Source organism: Homo sapiens, chromosome 12 (assembly GCF_000001405.40).
Source record: "Homo sapiens chromosome 12, GRCh38.p14 Primary Assembly".
Taxonomy (NCBI): Eukaryota; Metazoa; Chordata; class Mammalia; order Primates; family Hominidae; genus Homo; species Homo sapiens.
In genome coordinates, this window is record NC_000012.12 from 62,959,502 (window position 1) to 62,979,088 (window position 19,587).

The 19,587-nt window shown below is 40.1% G+C and overlaps 1 pseudogene, besides 1 other annotated feature; it reads left to right on the forward strand.

Moving 5' to 3' along the window:
* Positions 5,802-6,523, forward strand: RPL14P1 (ribosomal protein L14 pseudogene 1; annotated as a pseudogene).
* Positions 12,772-13,293: an enhancer, noted in NCBI's record as "H3K27ac-H3K4me1 hESC enhancer chr12:63366053-63366574 (GRCh37/hg19 assembly coordinates)". NCBI's record gives its function as "activates a minimal SCP1, AML or CMV promoter by ChIP-STARR-seq in naive H9 embryonic stem cells {active_cell/tissue: H9 hESC(naive)}" and the evidence as "EXISTENCE:reporter gene assay evidence [ECO:0000049][PMID:30033119]".

The following is a 19,587-nucleotide window of genomic DNA, read 5'->3' on the forward strand; positions in this document are numbered from 1 at the left end:
CTTTCACTGTCTAGATTTCCTAGCTGGGAATCAGACCTCTATTCAGTACCGCTTTAAGCTTTCTCACATGTGAGTCAGACAAGGGTACTCTGTGTCTTCAAATTTAGGGAGCACAGTTATTTGAGTGGTCATGTCTAAAAGCTTGTGGATAGAAGTTTGCACCTGTCATCCAAGGTGGAAGGGTCAGTCAGACCTTTCCAAAGTAATCTGTTTATTAATTCAACTCATGTCCACACTCTAAACCCTTTGGATGATTTCATTTAGTTAAGGAGATCAAGGGTTGTGGAACATTTCTCCATTCTATTTCTTTGTAAATCTACATATGGTTGCAAGGATGTAGGGAGTCATCTCTCTCTTGCTTTGGTACTATGACTATTGCCTCACTCAAAACTGAGTTAAAAATAATCTCGGCTGGGTGCAGTGGCTCATGCCTGTAATCCCAGCACTTTGACAGGTCGAGGCGGGAGCTGAGATCGTGCCACTGCACTCTCCAGTCTGGTGCCAGAGCGAGACACCCTCTCAAAAAAAAAAAAAAAAAAAAATCTCATTCTGGCCAGGTGCAGTGGCTCACGCCTGTAATCCTAGCACTTCGGGAGGCCAAGGCGGGTGGATCATTTGAGGTCAGGAGTTCAAGACCAGCCTGGCCAAAATGGCAAAACCCCTGTCTCTACTAAAAATACAAAAATTAGCTGGGTGTGGTGGCGGGTGCCTATCATCTCAGCTACTCGGGAAGGCTGAGGCAGGAGAATCACTTGACCCTGGGAGGCGGAGGTTGCTGTGAGCTGAGATCATGCCACTGCACTCCAGCCTGGGCAACAAGAACAAAACTCTGACTCAAAATAAATAAGATAAAATAATCTCATTCTAATTTCCTGTTACAATTATATTTAAATTCACTGGAAACAAGCAAGTGTCATGATGGGTGTTTTAGATTTTGTAGGTGGGAAGCCTTTACTGCATCAGGAGACTCACTGGGATAGAAGCAATCCCCACAGGGATTGTCTACTCAGTCCATGAGTAAAGCTGGCTCCGGAATGAAAGCAGAGCTTTATGAATATGGCCATTATTCAGCAAAAGGCATACATCTTTCCTTCATATGCATATGATGGGTATATGTGTACTTTAAAATCCCATTTCAATGAACTTGTAGTGGTATATGCAACTGTGTCTCCATCTCCTCAACTTTCATCTGATATTTGATATTTGTTGATTGAACTTTATGCTAGGTGCTGGGGTACACAGTGGTGAACATGTGTTTTCTTTTTTTTGAAACAGAGTCTCACTGTGTTGCCCAGGCTGGAGTGCACTGGCATGATCTTGGCTCACTGCAACCTCTGCCTCCCAGGTTCAAGCGATTCTCCTGCCTCAGCCTCCTGCGTAGCTGGGATTACAGGTGTATGCCACCATGCCTGGCTAATTTTTGTATTTTTAGTAGAGACGGGGTTTCACCATGTTGGTCAGGCTAGTCTCAAACTCCTGACCTTGTGATCCATCCGCCTCAGCCTCCCAAAGTGCTGGGATTACAGGCATAAGCCACCGGACCCAGCCCAAACATATATTTTCTTGTGACTTATGACTCTCACACACAGGGCTAATCTTGCAAATGATTATATTTTTTAATACTCTTTCTATCACATTTCTAGGATATACTGGAAATCACTTTCTTTGGAATTAGACCCGGGTTTGAAGACCAATTCTGTCATCTGTGATTATCTTTATGACTTGGGAAATTTACTTAATCTCTCTGAGACTCAGTTTACTCATCTGCAAATAAGACTAACACTGACCAGCTTAGGTTGTTTTATTAAGTGAGATGATGCCTTTAAAGTGCTGACATGAAGTAGGTATTTTCCAAGTGAACTCCCCAGGAGTTTTTCTTCATTCTGCTTTTGAGGCACCTCGCCCAGTTTGGGCATAGTGCTGAGGTTCATTATGAAAGAAACTTTGCCTCCTGTGTTCTTAAAACTAAAAGTCATTCCTCGTATTTACCATTTGGAGCATGAGATTGTTCACTTTTATTTTAATCAACGGGATTATGACTATGCTTTTTTATTCAGATTCTGAATAACCACTTAAATAACTGCCACTTTATAGACACAAACCAGACTGCTGCACATTTTCTTATCCATTGTTTTAACTACACCTCTTTTTTTTTTTTTTATTTTGGAGACACAGTCTCATTCTGTCGGCCAGGCTGGAGTGCAGTGGCACAATCTCAGCTCACTGCAACATCCATTCCATCTCCCGGGCTCAAGCAATTCTCCTGCCTCAGCCTCCCGAGTAGCTGGGATTACAAGCGTGTGCCACCACGTCGGGCTAACTTTTGTATTTTTAGTAGAGACAGGGTTTCACCATGTTGGCCAGGCTCATCTCAAACTCCTGACCTCAGGTAATCTCCCCACCTTGACCTCCCAAAGTGCTGGGATTATAGGCTTGAGCCACTGTGCCCAGCCCTATACCTCTTTTTTTGATTATTACTTCAGAATTCTTATAAAGACTCACGGATATTTAGAGATCAGTAACTTGCTTCTTAAAATGGAGCAAATAATATATTTAGCCATTAATCACAAAGTTAGCTTAAGATTTGCTCAGCAAGCACCACGGGTGTGTCACCTTGTAACCAATCATTGACTAAGTGGTATTTCTGTAGGAGAGATAGAAAGTACTATGACATTAATGAGGCATCATTTTATAGGTAGGAAATTTGATTGCATTAGTGCTTTTTGGTTTCAACTCCAGAGTGTCAACAGACTCACAGATTGTTAATTCCCATTGCACCCCTAGATTAACATCAGATTGATCTAGTTTTTCAGTCTGTGTATTAGTCCATTCTCACACTGCTATAAAGAACTGCTTGAGACTGCGTAATTTACAAAGGAAAGAGGCTTAACTGACTCACAGTTCCACAGGGCTGGGGAGATCTCAGGAAGCTTACAATCATGGTAGAAGGGGAAGCAAGCACGTCCTTCTTTGCATGGCAGCAGGAAGGAGAAGTGCCAAGCAAAGGGGGAAAAGCCCCTTATAAAACCATCAGATCTCAAGAGGACTCACTCACTATCACAAGAATGGCATGGAGGTAACCGCCCATATGATTCCATTACATCCCATCAAGTCCCTCCCACAACATGTGGGGATTATGGGAACTAAAATTCAAGATGAGATTTGAGCAGGGACACAGCCAAGCCATATCAGTCTGCCTGTCCTTTCTTGTTCTCCACCCAACTCACCAAGACTCATTCAGCACTTCACATGGGAAACAGCCTTGGGTACTCAATCACAAGACTTACAAGAGTTCAATGCCCTTGGAGACCACTCAGTTTGTACTACCAGTCATTTAAACTACAGTTATAACTGTCCTCACTGGTCCTTGGCAGAAACCAGGTTCCTCATAAAAAGACAAAAGGACAAAGGTATTAGGGATCATCTCAGATCAACTTGATGGTTGATTTTTCAAACTGATGTTTGTATTTTTTTTTTTTTTTTTGAGATGGGGGTCTCACTCTGTTGCCCAGGCTAGAGTACAGTGACAAGATCTCGGGTCACTGCAGCCTCAACCTCCTGGGCTCAAGTAATCCTCCCACCTCGGCTTCCCAAGTAGTTGGGACTACAGGCACACATCACCATATCTAGCTAATTTTTATTTTTATTTTTTGTAGAGACAGGATCTTGCCATGTTGCCCAGCCTGGGCTGAGGTGATCTGCCCATCTTGGCCTCCCAAAGTGCTGGGATTATAGGTGTGAACCACTGCACCTGGCCCAAACTGATGTTTAAAAAAATCAGTGAAACTTTTTTCTTAAATACATAAGCATCATTGTAAATGATTATTTAACCAATAAATGGTGGCTAGCTTGGTTAAAGGAAGGATGGGGGATCTAGAGATCTACCCACTCAGCCCCTCCTTATCTGAGCTTTTTCTGAAGACTCAAAATGCTATGCTTGTCACAGTCTGAAAAGCACTCATCTAAGTTAAGCCCTTCATTTTGCAGATGAGGAAACTGCAGCCCAGAGGGATGGAAAAACTTACTCAAGATGACCTACAGAGCAGGAGGTTTTATTCAGGACCTATTCTGAAATTTTTGATTTGTTGTTGTTCATACAATCCTGCTACTTTGGATGGCAGCTAAATAGGACTGGGGGAGGCCTTGAGGTGCCCACGCAAGATTTAAGGAAGCACTCCCTTTCAGGTCTGGACAAGTGCCAACTCTATACTTGCAAGGACTAGAGAGGGAGTGCTTCCTTGAATTTTGCAACTAATCCCAGTCCTGCCTCTATTCATATCTAAAATACTATCATCTCCAAACATGCTGATCTTCTACTTCATGTTGCCTCTTGCCCTCTTATCTTTGTCTTTCCATTAGATTGTTAACTTTGGAGGTCAAGGGCAATGTCTTTCATCCTTATTTTCCTAGGGTTTGGTATAGCATATGGAAAATAACGGGTCTTCAGTAAGTATCTACTGAAAGAACTGATGGGTGAGTGGGTCTAAATTCTGTTTTTGATGAAGGCTTTCCTGATCCCTCAAATTCACTCTGATGTCTCCATCCTCTGAAATCCTAACATATTATCCGTATTCTCTGAATAACTCAATTCATTTAATTATATATGTTGACATAACTTTTATGTTTATGTAACTCTTGTGCAGCAACTTAATTTTCCAATTTTCTCTTTCTTTATGCACAATTAGATTTTAGTTAGTTAAGAGCAAATGCCAATTTGTGTTCTTTGAATTTTCTCAGCAGCTAGCAGAAGATTTTGCACACTGAAGGTACATAGCAAATGTTTCTTCAATATATGATGAAGAACAAACAAGTAAGTAGATGAATGGCATTTTCTCAGCTGAAAATAGAATCTACGGTAACTGTTTTCAAGTCCTAGCTTGCCTCCTAACTACCTGAGTGCAGAAATGCTTTCCCCTCATTGGCTTCAGTTTCTTTTCTCTTTTTTTGAGACGAAGTCTCACTCTGTTGCCCAAGCTGGAGTGCAGTGATGAGATCTCGGCTCACTGCAACCTCTGCGTCCCATGTTCAAGCGATTCTCCTGCCTCAGCCTCTCAAGTAGCTGGGACTAGAGGCATGCACCACCATGCCCAGCTAATTTTTCTATTCTTAGTAGAGATGGGGTTTCACTATGTAGGCCAGGCTGGTCTCGGACTCCTGACCTTGTGATCCACCTGCCTTGGCCTCTTAAAGTGCTGGGATTACAGGCATGATGAGCCACTGTGCACATCCTGGCCTCAGTTTCCTTATATGTAAAATGAAGAGGTGGTTTGAGTGATTCTGAAGATACTTCCAGCTCTGGCATCCTGTGACTCTATGAATTTAGAAATCTGTCATGCAAGAGGAGTTCAGGTGTAAATTTTGTTACTATAAATCACTTGCTCATCTAACAGGAATTGTTTACATGTAGCTGATGGTCTAATTTTTAAATGTTCAGAGTCCTAAAATTATGAACAGATTATATGTCAAAAATTAATTTGTAATATACAAGGTATATTATGGTTGAACTAGTTTTTGTGGTCTTAGGCTGGAAATTAAACACCTAGTATATAGAAGCAATAATATTTCAAGTATACATATTCATTTATAGCATTATTTCTATGGGAAAATGCACCCAGAATTCTAACTAGGATCTTCAAGAACAACTCTCCCCAGGTCAGTGCATGGAGCAGAAAGAGAAGGGAAAGGGATAGAATGTCTTCATGACTTTAATCCTAGTATTTGAAAAAAAAAAATCAAACCTTGCACCTACAAATTTCTGTCTTGATCCAGAAAGTCATTAGCATAAAAAAGATAATAGTGGCCTTCTCACCTAACGCCACCAACATGGTGTTCAGGCGCTTCGTGGAGGTTGGCCGGGTGGCCTATGTCTCCTTTGGACCTCATGCCGGAAAATTGGTCGCGATTGTAGATGTTATTGATCAGAACAGGGCTTTGGTCGATGGACCTTGCACTCAAGTGAGGAGACAGGCCATGCCTTTCAAGTGCATGCAGCTCACTGATTTCATCCTCAAGTTTCCGCACAGTGCCCGCCAAAAGTATGTCCAACAAGCCTGGCAGAAGGCAGACATCAATACAAAATGGGCAGCCACACGATGGGCCAAGAAGATTGAAGCCAGAGAAAGGAAAGCCAAGATGACAGATTTTGATCGTTTTAAAGTTATGAAGGCAAAGAAAACGAGGAACAGAATAATCAAGAATGAAGTTAAGAAGCTTCAAAAGGCAGCTCTCCTGAAAGCTTCTCCCAAAAAAGCACCTGGTACTAAGGGTACTGCTGCTGCTGCTGCTGCTGCTGCTGCTGCTAAAGTTCCAGCAAAAAAGATGACGGCCGCGAGTAAAAAGGCTTCAGCCCAGAAGGTTCCTGCCCAGAAAGCCACAGGCCAGAAAGCAGCACCTGCTCCAAAAGCTCAGAAGGGTCAAAAAGCTCCAGCCCAGAAAGCACCTGCTCCAAAGGCATCTGGCAAGAAAGCATAAGTGGCAATCATAAAAAGTAATAAAGGTTCTTTTTGACCTGTTGGCAAATGTAAAAAAAAAAAAAAAGATAATAGTGAGTATTTTATTATTTCAGGAAGGTAAAACAGATCTTTTAAAATGGCTCGTTGTATCATTATGTTCTCATTTAGTTATTTTCAGTATTTACTTTTTCTTTGTAAAATAAACGTGAAAGTGGCTTGTTAAATTTTTTTTAGAGAAATCTGAGTAATCTTCCCAGAGGCTCCTGAAGAAGATTTAACTTTTTTCTCATCTGATTTTCATATAATGTATTCAATTCTACAAGTTCTATTGCTAAAATGCCACACTGTGTGAGTGATGTCCATGTTTGGTGACTAAATTAACTATGTGACAAAACTGATATTTTCTTAAGGAAAAGTCTAATTTCATGAGGAAGTATTTGGTAGTTCATGGTGGTGTTAGATATGAGTTCTAAATTTCTTTACAAAGAATCAATATGTCAGTATGTTCAATTCTTTGCCTTCTATTTTTAAACTTCACTTCCTCATAAAGCAACCTTTTTCGATCACCTGCTCCACCCTGACTCATTTCAATCACCTGCTCCACCCTGACTCATTCCCATTACCGGCTACCTGGTCTGCCCTGACTCATTCCTTACCCTGCATAACCATTTTTTCCTGCCAAGCCATTCACCCTGTCACTTTCTTTCAATTAGCCAATGAGAATTAGTTTAGATGCTGCGGTATAACCCTAGCCAATAGGGGAACAACACAGCAGCAGGGGCCGCCTGCGTCAGGGATAAGAACCCCTTCCCCTCCCTTGTCCAAGTGTGCGCTCACCATTGCTCCATCTGTAAGGGTGCACCCTTCTATAGAGGTACCTTGCCTTGCTGAGAATTAAAAAGAAAATTTTATATTCAAGTGCTATTTTTTTTGCCGCACGGAAACTATTTATAACAGTGGGCTGCATGCCATCCTGAGAATTCATCTCTCAGAATTGTGGCCTATGCATTTCAGTTCATGCCAACTAACCAACTTTGAATATAATATTGTACTTTCCCTTCTAACTCTCTATTTATTTAGGTCTTTGTTGACTTAAAAGATTATCATTAGTGCAGCAAAGAGTGAAAGGCTCTGTGTTAGACCTGACAACTGTATTACTTTACTTGGGTGTCACTGACTGGTCTCTTAGGCTGTAGTTCATTCCACCTAGTTCCTGTTGATCATGGTTGGCAAGGTAAACTTTCTTGAAAACAATTTCTTCCACATTGGTCTTTAGTTTTATCCATTGTCTTTCAATCAAATATGAACATTTTAGCTCATATTTCAAGTTCTCTCCACCCCATCATCAGGCTTCTCCATGCCTGTTCAGCATAATTCACCTCATCTTGCTGCCCTTTGGCCTCTCTCTGTAAGCAGTTAGTCTGACCCAGGAGATCTTTTCAAACCTCTTTCATCTTCATTTGTACTGGAGCTTTGTGAAAGACAGGTGAGGTGATGGGCCATGTCCTCTGGTGCCTGACTTCCTTCCACCTTTTCTCAACAATCTGTATAGCACGTGTACTTATTGTAGCAACAACAGTCATAGTAATGATATCTTTTATTACTGAGTTCCTACCATGTAAGGCACTAAATTGTTTCATATGTATCATCTCTGCTAAAACAATAGCATGATTTAGGTAAATATGGGTATTATTATCTCCATTTTACAAACAAAATATTGAGATCCGAAGGATTAAGAAATGTACCCAAAGTCATACAGTTAGTCGATGTCAGAGCCAGGATTTAACCAGTTGGTATGCCTCTAGAGTTTTTTATCTTAACCATTATACTTTTCTGGCTCCTGCAAATGACCATGTGCTGTGAGGAGTACAAAGATGTAAAAGATCCAGTGCCTGTACCACAAAGTTGACTGTTTAGTTTGGTAGATTAGAGATGCACACAAATAACTTTTTTATAGGTCAGTGTGTGACAGGAACTGGAAAAATGGGCCTAAGTTGCAATGTGGATCTAGAGTTGGGAGAAGGCTGCCTAGAAGCTCTGAGACTTTAGTCTTGGAAAGATAGGTACCATTTTCATGGGTATCTAAACTATTCAAACTTAACATGTTATTTTATTCTGGCTTGCATGTTTATTTCGTTTTCTTTTGTTTTTGGCTTTCTTCTCAATTAGAGAAGTTCTTTTAAAGCAAGGTTCATGTCTTATGCCTCTGTATTTTCCATATATTACTAGCACAGTGTTATGTACATAGTAAATTATAAATAGTTTGTGATTAACCACTTAAAGATAAAATTTATTTATGAAAACAATTACATCAGCCTTTTCCAAAGTACACCTTACTAAGCAGTATTCTCTTAATTGTTCTTATGGAAGCTATATTTTCCCTTTCATTATATTCATCAACTTTCAAGTAGGAGTTTAATGTGTGTTTTTTCTACTAGACTGTTAAGACCCATGAGGACAAGGACTGTGTGTGTCCTGTATACCACTGAATCCTGGGTGCTTGCAATGTGTGCATATAGTAGTTGTTCAATAAATGTTCATTGAATAAATGAAATAGGTCTCTCAAGGAACCCGTTTAAAAAAGCCTTCCTTGACCTAGGGAGTTTATGAAATGCTGCATGGATATTATGCCATCCTCTTGAATATTCACAGTTGTATGTCGGCAGATGAAATCTCCAAAAACCTTGCAGCAAAGAAATCTGTTTAAAGTGGGTTATACAGTTTATTAAATTAAACTGAACTGATGAACTACCCTCCTCCTTTATTTCCCTTAGGAGAATTTGTTAATATTCTGTGAAATCACTGATGAGCAGACACTCTCAGGAAAGCCATTTTTGGGGGAATCTGATTGTAGCATTTGTCACACAATATTGTTACAACTATAGATCCCAAGAAATGTGCCCTCTTCTCAATCCTTTTCCAGCCAAAGGGACTGACCATTCCAAAAGATAGAAACCAGGACCACACCTTCCTAAGGTAACCTTGTCATCTACACAAAGAGGACTGCTCTATGCTCTTATTCATATTCTTTGTCAGTGTGTGACAAAGGCTTTTGTTCGCAATAGCCTGCCTGGTCGAGGAGAATTATTTTTATTGGGTTGTTTCCAGTATTTGTCTATAAGCTTCACATTTATTTACAAAGACTGTGAGAGAACTAACTTCACAGGGCTCAAAGAGGAATAATAAGGGTAAAAGATTAAAGGCTGTGTCTTTTAAGAAAGGTTAAATAAGTTGAAGTAATTTAAAGGAAAAATACAAATAATAAGGAAGGACAGACTTAATGAAATAAAATTCAGCATGCTACCTGAAGTCGGTCTGTGTGCAGGCTGCCTGGCTTTTTGTCGCTGAATGCCCAGATGCTGGTCCTGTTTAATGCCTATCTTCAGGTCCAGCGTTATCTCTGATTTTATAACATATGCCAGCAGTCATTCCTAGTATCAATATCAAAGCTATACTCCCTATTTTTTTGAGACTAACATTAAGTGCTTGCTATATATTAATTTGCCAAGTGTATTTTATGCATCATTATTCATTCATTCAGTAAACATTTGTAAAGTGCCTCCTGTGTGCCTTTGTATTTAGAATATATCAATGAATAAAACAGACCCAAAGTCTTGCCTTGTGGAACTTATATACTTGTGGGTGTGAAAAGACAGTAAACAATAAACATAATAAATAAATAAATTACATTGCATGTAGGAAGGTGATAAATGTTATGAAAAAAGAGACCAGGAAAGTAGGAAGATTATGTGTATATGAGGAGAGAGGGGCTGAAACCTTAATTTGGACAGTGTGGACCTCACTGAGAAGGTGATATTTGAGCAAAGAGATAAAGTCCTTGAGCAAGTAAACTGTGGGAATACCTGGAGTACGAACAGGTTGACCAGCAGAAGCAATCAACATAAAGGCCCTGAGTCAAGAATGCTTGTTGACTTCGAGGAACAGTAAAAAGGTCAGTGTGGCTGGGTGTGGGGGCGCGGGGAGGGGATCCTATAGGGCCTTTGACCATTATAAGGACTTTGGCTTTTACTCACAGTGAAATGGAAAGCCATTGCAGGATTTTGAGCAGAGCAGTGTTACTGCTGACTTTTTTTAAAAAAAGGATCACTAGCGCCGGGGGTGGTGGCTCACGCCTGTAATCCCAGCACTTTGGGAGGCCGAGGCGGGTGGATCACGAGGTCAGGAGATCGAGACCATCCTGGCTAACACGGTGAAACCGCGTCTCTACTAAAAATACAAAAAAAAATTAGCTGGGCGTGGTGGCACGCGCCTGTAATCCCAGCTACTCGGAAGGCGGAAGTAGGAGAATGGCGTGAACCCGGGAGGCAGAGCTTGCAGTGAGCCGAGATCGCGCCACTGCGCTCCAGCCTAGGCAACAGAGCAAGACTCCGTCTCAAAAAAAAAAAAAAAAAGGATCACTAGCTAGGAGGACAAGAAGTGGAAGCAAGACAATAATTCAGGTGCTGCTATATAATAATGCAGGTGAGTGAAACTCAGGATTCAGACTAAATAGTAACCAATAGTGGAGTTGGTGAGAACTGGTCAGTTACTGGATAGATATTCTATCCTCTTATATCACCTTTTGCAGTGTCAAGCAAACTTAAAATGAGCTAACAGAGCAATAGGGTTATCTAGAAGTGTGTGTGACAGAGTAGTCAAAAATGACTCTAACACTGTTTTTTTTTTTGTTTTTTTTTTTGAGATGGAGTCTCTTTCTGTCGCCAGGCTGGAGTGCAGTGGCACTTTCTTAGCTCACTGCCACCTCCACCTTCCAGGTTCAAGTGATTCTCCTGCCTCAGCCTCCTGAGTAGCTGGGACTACAGGCCCATGACACCACGCCCAGCTAATTTTTGTATTTTTAGTAGAGACAGGGTTTCACCACGTTGGCCAGGATGGTCTTGATCTCCTGACTTCGTGATCTGCCTGCCTCGGCCTCCCAAAGTGCTGGGATTACAGGTGTCAGCCACCGTGCCCAGCCGACTCTAACACTTTTTAACCTCAACGAATCCTTATAGCCAGGTAGGTTATATTATCACCTCCCTTTTTCAGATAGAGAAACTGAGTCTTAGAGAGATATTAACTCTAGGTTATCTAGCTAGTAAGCAGAAGATCTGGGATTTGAATACAGTGTTGTATGACTCCAAATGCTGGGTTTCTTTCTTTTTCTTTTCTTTTTTTTTTTTTGAGAGGGAGTCTCGCTCTGTTGCCCAGGCTGGAGTGCAGTGGCACGATCTGGGCTCACTGCAAGCTCTGCTTCCCGGGTTCATGCCATTCTCCTGCCTCAGCCTCCTGAGTAGCTGGGACTACAGGCGCCCAACACCACGCCCGGATAATTTTTTGTATTTTTAGTAGAGATGGGGTTTCACCGTGTTAGCTAGGATGGTCTCGATCTCCTGACCTCGTGATCCACCCGCCTCGGCTTCCCAAAGTGCTGGGATTACAGGCGTTAGCCACCACGCCCAGCCAACGCTGGGTTTCTTAGTCATACTGCTGTTTGGCCCAGGAAGACATTGAGCTATTACTGTGAAATCCGACCTGAGGTCTCCAAGAAGCTGATTCCAGATGTGTTTTTAGGTTATTCAGTACCTACCTTGAACACCAGTTTCCATTGACATGTTTCCATTTCTTAACCTTAGTTCATTAGTGATGATATTTCTCTCCCTCAACCTTTTCATTTCTCAGAGTCTCCTACTTTTGAAGGCTGTTTTCCATCTGTTTAAATCTCTGGCCACCTAGACATCCACGATGTGCTTATTTTTCCCCAGGCCTTGGACTCAGTTTGGACTTGACCAAAACTTTCCTTTTCTCTTTGGCAAGCTTTCACATTCCAGAGCTATTTTCTAATATTTGTCCTCCAAGACCTGCTTTAGATTAATTGACCCCTGAACACTTTGAAAAGTTAAAATCATATGCTTTTCCATGAGGAGCAAGGGAGTGGGTGACATGGAGAGCTGCACTGGCAGTGACAGTTCTGAGTTCTCTATCCTTCACCTAGCTCATGCTGAGAGAGAGGGGTGTGGCAATAGCAAGCTTGGAGGCCTGTAGGCAGGACAGATGATCCTATTGGTTAGAGACACCTGGCCTTAAGCAAATGTTGTTTATACTTTACCCTCTTCATCCTGAACCAATTTAGTGTCCTCTTAGATCACCTTTTGCAGCACCAAGCAAACTTATAATGAGCTAACAGTATTATCTTAACAACCAGCACCAACATTCTTCCTACAGAGGAAAATGTCAATACTGGGGAGATGTTTCAATATGGGTTTAGGGCAAAAAGTGGGTTCCCCAATGGCTGGGGTGTCAGCTGGCATCCAGGTCTCAGGGGATTGGGAAGCTGCCAAGCACAATGCAGAGAAAATGACACTCTTGGTTCAATAGGGGGTGGGGAGCAGAAGGGAACAGCAGAGATGGACAGAGATGAACACAAGGGAGGTAAGATAAAGCTGTCAAGTTGGGGGAAGGCTATTCAGGGAACTGTGTGACCCTCTCCACACTTCATCACCCAATTTATAGGAAAATCTGCTTATCCCCAAAAGGCGTGGTATGAATGAGGGTTGTTGTGGAGCTAAAGGAGAGGCTCAGTTCTAAGTTGGGTTCTTCCTAGCGTAGGACAGAGGCATTGTGCAGAGACAAGGCCCAAGAGACATAAGAGGCAGGAGAGAGCTTTGGGTGCTATTGGACATAAAATAAAAAGGGATTCATGGCAATTTTACCCAGATTTCATAGTCAGGGAGTTCTCAGCTATAGTACTGTGAATGGCTTTAACCTTTTCCCATCTATATTCTTACATTAATTCCAGTCTTCTCCTGGAGAAGACTCTGGTTCCACAATACCTACATATTGAAATCTTGCTAAACTCAAATCCCATTCCTATGGAAATTCTGAACATTCAGTATAAAGTGAACTTTCACATGGCAGGTGCATTAAGTTTTCCATATGTACCCTGTTGTTTTAGTTATATTTCAAGCTTCTAGAAAACAGACACTTAATGAATTTTTGAAGTAAATAACTTATTAGTCTTCCCTAGGAGACATTGTTATTTACAAAAATGTACAATTGAAATCAAATTTTATAACGGGAAAAATTGAATCTGTAGAAATAACACACATATGTATATGTATAGCTTTGCCACCAGTATCTAAATACCTCTCTATCCCATTTCTTTAAGGTTCTGATCAAATATCAGGCCTGACCTCCCTCTTCTCCATTCACCCCATACCATCTATCATTCTTTTTTTTTCCAATAGTTATCGGCACCTGGATGTATAATTCATGGAACTATTCATGTATTTGTTGACTGTGTCTCCTGCCACTAGGACATATATTACATGAAGGCAGAGACTGTGTTCTCTTCCCTGGTGTATCTTCAGTGCCTAGAACAATGCCTGTCTGGACTATAGTTTGGCCCTCAGTAATATTACATGAATAAATCCACAGCCATGGTTAGAACTGTATCTTTCTTTCTGCTTTGACATTCAGAGTTAATAAACATATGTTAGACATTTATATTTGCATAACCAGGTAAATCACTCAGAACTCAGTATGTAGCTTCATTACCTATGATTAGAAATAAACAGCCAAGAAGAGAAAAGCAGAAAATAACTATTTCTTGTAAAGTGAAGTGTGATGTCTAGATTGAAACTTCACAAAGCAGATGTGTGCAATCATTTCTTTCCTGATGAATTTCGGGGACACATTTGCCCTCTACATAACTTTGTCTATAACTCAAAACTGTATAGCAGGTTTAAAAAAATCTGATTCCAGATATATTAAAGAAATTGATTAAGTGTGTCAATTTCCTGTAAATACACCAAACCTTAATATACATAGAAATTTGGGTTTGGAGGAGACTTTGAAATTTCTCTTTCAAGATGGTTATTTTATTTTATAAATGAAGCAACCAAAGAATAGAAAAATCAAGTGACCTACTGGAGCACACTGTATGTGAATTTAGAAGTAAAACTCAGCCTACAACTCAGGGCTGTGCCTGCCCCACTGCACTGCACAACTTCTCTATATTGCTGGAAACACGACAGTTCTGCCCAGTTTTCAAGCAGCTTTTCAAGTTACAGGTCCTGACTTCAGAGTTTATCTCACATTTCGTTTGTATCTATTTTTACTTTCTTTCCATCTTTTATTCCAGCTTATCACTATTTCTGGCGACTTCTAGACCGAGGGATAGCTTTAATGTACTAAAAATAAGAATCTCTTCCCTCCTGTTTTCCATTACTGTTTTTTCCTTTCCTGTATATGAATGTTCACTATCTTTTTTCTCCTCCTCCCGTGATGACTTCCTATACTCTAAAGTATATTTGACTCAACCTCCTTAACGATCACTCGTAATTAGTTTATGTGTTTCCATATATTTGTGTTCATGACAAGTTTTTATCTGATCATCAAAATTTAAGCCCCTTGAAACGAAAATTAAAATCAAAATGAGATACAACTATATATCTATCAGAATTAAAAAGAGTGACCATACCAAGTGTTGAGGAGGATATAGAAGAACTGGAGCTCTCATATGCTGCTCCTGGGAATGCAAAATGGTACAACCAGTTTGGAAAAACAGTTTGGTGCCTTCTTTAAAGGTTAAATAACACCTATCTTATGATCCAGCTATTCTACTCCTAGGTATTCACTCAAGATAAATGAAAGCATATGTCCATATAAAGAGTAGTACAGGATAGAGGAATTATAAAGGGACAGGAGGAAAAACTTTGGGTGGTAAATCATATGTTCATTTTCTTGATGTTAGAGATGGTTTCACAGGTGTATATATGTGTCAAAACTTATCAAATTTTGCTTTTTAAATACGTTCAAGTTACAGTATGACAATTATAACTCAAAAAGGTGGTTAAAAGAATTTTAAGCCCCTTGGATGCTGAAACTGTAACTTTTCTTTAATAGCTCTCAGAAATGCCTGGCAAAATGCCACACAACCTCTGAGAACTAAGTATATATTTATTGATAAATTGTTTGACTCAATAATAGTTTAGCGATTTCCCTAGGACCATGAATTTTAGGTATTATCCTGACATTGAGAATAGTTCAATTAAGATCAACTAACAGTTACTAAGCTTCTCCTTTGAAGCAATAAAATATGAGACGTGTTTTTGATGCATTTATAATCAGGCTGATATTAACATAATCAGGCTGATTTTAACACAGAAACTTTCTATTCAAAGCCAAAACAAAATCCATTGAATTCTATAAAAATTAAGCAATTTAGTAAAAAATGTAGTCAGCCTAATTTTGCATCACGCAAATTAAACATTTGACTGATTTTTGTTTTCCAGTAATTGTAATATTGTATGGCATTCATAAGGAATTATAACCTCTGTTTCTCTTCACTAATAACAAAATATCTTCCATTTATTTTTATTTTTTATTTATTTATCTTATTTATTTATTTATTTATTTATTTTGAGACAGAGTCTCACTCCTTTGGAGTGCGGTGGCAGGATCTTGGCTCACTGCTACCTCCACCTCCTGGGTTCAAACAATTCTCATGCCTCAGCCTCCTGAGTAGCTAGAATTACAGGAGCATATCACCAGGTCTGGCTAATTTTTTGTGTGTTTTTAGTAGAGACGGAGTTTTGCCATGTTGGCCAGGATGGTCTCAAACTCTTGACCTCAATTGATCCACCCACCCCAGCCTCCCAAAGTGTTACGGGCATGAGCCACCATGCCCAGCCATCCATTTATTATGTATAGATAATACAACATGCACCAGGCATTTTATAAAATTACCTTATTTAATCGTATAACAATATGAGAGATAATTAGTTAATGAAGCATCCCTCTTAAACAGATGAAAAACTAAGGCTCAGAGAAATTAATCATTTGGCCAAGATCATACAACCAGTAAACAGAGGAGGTGAGATTTGAATCCGAATCACTCTGACATCAAAGCACAGTTTTCTATTTTTGTATCCCTGAATAATTTGCATTATCTTTGCAGGAGTGTCATGGACTTGATCATACTGCTAACTTATTAAACCAAAATGTAAATTCTTTTTTTTGGATAGATTAGCAACAAAAAAAATTAAAAACACTGCTTCATTCATTCACAGTAAAGCCAGAAGATACTAGAACTCTATATAGATTTTTATACACACACATAGATATATAAAACACACATATACCTGCAATTAGAATTCTTTAACATTTAAATCATACCTATTTCCTTCACAGCATTTTATATTTTAGTTCTTCTTATCTCTCTTTAATGTACTTTTTATGCCCAGGTTACAAAATAAAGTATGTTATATTGGTGAAGCTTTGCCTGGTTCTTATCTTAGGTTCCAGTAGGTTTGGATGTTCTCGGTGTGACCTGGAAATTTCCCCAGAGGCCAATTTGTGGTATCTGGCCTAATTCTATAGAAAGTTCCTCTCATGTAGTGTTTCTCAGATATTTGCATTCCTTGACTTCTGCCCACTCTTTTTTTCTACTTTAAATGTTCTCCCACTGTGACTAATTTTCAGTTTTATAACCACATGAAAAACAAACAAACAAAAAAGATCAGTTACTTAAGGCGCCAACAGGACAAATCATTGCCCAGAGCTTGCAATGACGGTTTCCCTTGTTATTGCAACAGATGTTAAAGATTGGAAGAAAGGGTAGGACAAAAATGAGGTGGGAGCCTTACAGCCTTACTCATATTTTTTTTTTTCTTTTTGGTAGATGGGGTCTCACTCTGTCACCTCGACGGGAGGGCAATGGCATGATCACAGCTAACTGCAGCCTCAACCTCCTGGGCTCAAGTGATCCTCCTGCCTCAGCCCCCTGAGAAGCTGGGACTACAGGCGAGGGCCACCATGCCCAGCTGCTTTTATTTAAAAAATTTTTTTGTGGAGACTGCATCTCACAGTGTTGCCCAGGGTATTCTCAAACTCCTGGGCTCAAGCGATTCTCCCGCCTAAGCCTTCCAAAGTGTTGGAATTACAGGCATGAGCCACTGTGCCTGGCCTAAGATAATTTTTATTTAAAATACTTTACTTTGATCTTAGCGTTGCTCCATTTTGAGAACTTCCTAGCTTTAAGGACAATTGCATTGTGTAGAAAATCTGGTGAAAATGCCTTTAAATGATAGAAATATCAGCGAGAGTTAGTTTGGTTTAACCAACTTTTGATAAGACATTTAGTTCAGTGCCATTTTGGTTTAATTAATATTATTTTACTTCTTTGGCAAATTAGCATGGCTTCTTCAACAAATGTGGCTGTGAAGTTGTGGCAGACAGCCACGTTTACTACTTGAGACCGTCACTACGACAGTTATTACTATTACTACTTGAGACCGTCATTATGACGGTTACTACTGTTACTGCTTGAGACCGTCATTACGAAACTGAACGAAGGGGGATGAATGTAGATATGAAAACTTAAGACAAAAGAAACTGTTTTAAAGGAAGGGGCCAGGGGAAGAAGAGAGCTTGGTGTTCCTAGTGAGCAAACGCAGCCCCTGAGCTTCCACAGCCCATTGTATTTATTGGTTAGCAAGAGCAGGAAGGAGGAGGTAATGATTGGTCAGCTGCTTAATTGATCACAGGTTCACATTATTACTAACAGGCTTCAGATGTACCTAATCAAAAGAAACACCGCACTTGGGGCGTGACTGCCCTCAGCAGTCCTTCCGGTTGGCAGACGCAGTTTGTCAGTTTGCCAACATTCTGCATTTATGAGAAACAGTTTGCTGCTTACTCATAGAGCCTCCAGTGGTATAATGAGCTGATCACGACCCTCATTCTTTCTGCCTGCAACATGAAGTCATTCATTTGGGTATGCTGCATGGACCATTTAGAAACAGCCACATCACAGGCACTCCTCTATGAAAAGAAGGGCTCTTTGGATGAAGAGTGTTCTTGTGGAGGGTGTATAGAAATATGAAATATGATCTTGTCCTAGAGAAGCATTCATACTGAGTAGGGGGCAGCCAGCACACATGAACCCATAAAATAATAATAAAGGGCTGCCTATGGTCAACTGCCGTAAAATAAATACTATAGATTATCAGAGTGGAAAAAAAATCTACCATGGCCTGACATGAAGAGGTTGGTAGTCATTTAGCTCATACTATGTGTAAGCCATTTTGAAAGGTGCTGTTTAAGATAAGAATAAAATGACAGGGCTCCTGCTCTTTGTGGGTGTGTACCCAGAAAATTATGTAATAAGGAAAGCAAGGAATTCAAAGCAAAATCTTCAGTGAATCATAGTGAATGAGAATGCTTCTCATGGAAAGATGAGAAGGAGTTCAGGGAGGTGATATTTGAATTTAGACTTAAAAGATGGGTAGAATTTAGACATAAGGAAGTTGGAGAAAGTGGAAGGGTATTTGTAGGTAGGAAAAACAGCCCAAGGAAAGACATAGAGGCATTAAATCATAGGATATTCAGAAAAAAATGTGTTATGTGAAGGAAACAAAAAAGCCGAAGAGAGGTGGAGGAGAATGTGGTGGGTATTAAATAACTTATGGTGGACAACAGGGAAACATTATAAGTTTGATATGAGAAGAAATACGATCATAATTATTGAGGAAGAAGAGAAGAAAACCCAGGACAGAATGTAGAGGAGCTCCAAATTTGAATGGTGGATAGAAGAGAATGAGATAAAAAAGAAGAGAAGCAGCAGCCAGAAAAGTAGGAAGAAAATCAGGAGGCAACTGGACCTCGAAAACAAGAGGCAGAACATTCCAAGAGTAGGTGGTCAGCAGAGATGTCAGGCAAAATGAAGACTAGAAAATATGTATTGTCTTTATGATAGGGAGGTCGTTGGTGTTTTTGGCAAGTTGCATGATAAGAACTAAATTGGAATAGATTGACTTCTGATTGGTGGATGTGGAAATTAAGACAAAACTTAGATGGTTTTTTATTTTCTTTTGTTTCTGTTTGGCTGTAATGAGACAGGATAGAATAGAACCTGGAGAGAAACATGAGGTTAAAAGAGGTTATTATATTTAAATGGCAGAGACCTTCTTCACAGATGTATAAGGCAATTGGAAAGGTCTAGTGTGGGTGGGGATTGACTGTAAAAGAGAAGTGAGATATTTGATGGTTTAGTGAGAAGAGTTTTGGGTGCTGGGTGAGGTGGACAGGATGAAGTCCAAAGCAAGGATAAAAGGAAGAGTGGGAAGGCCTC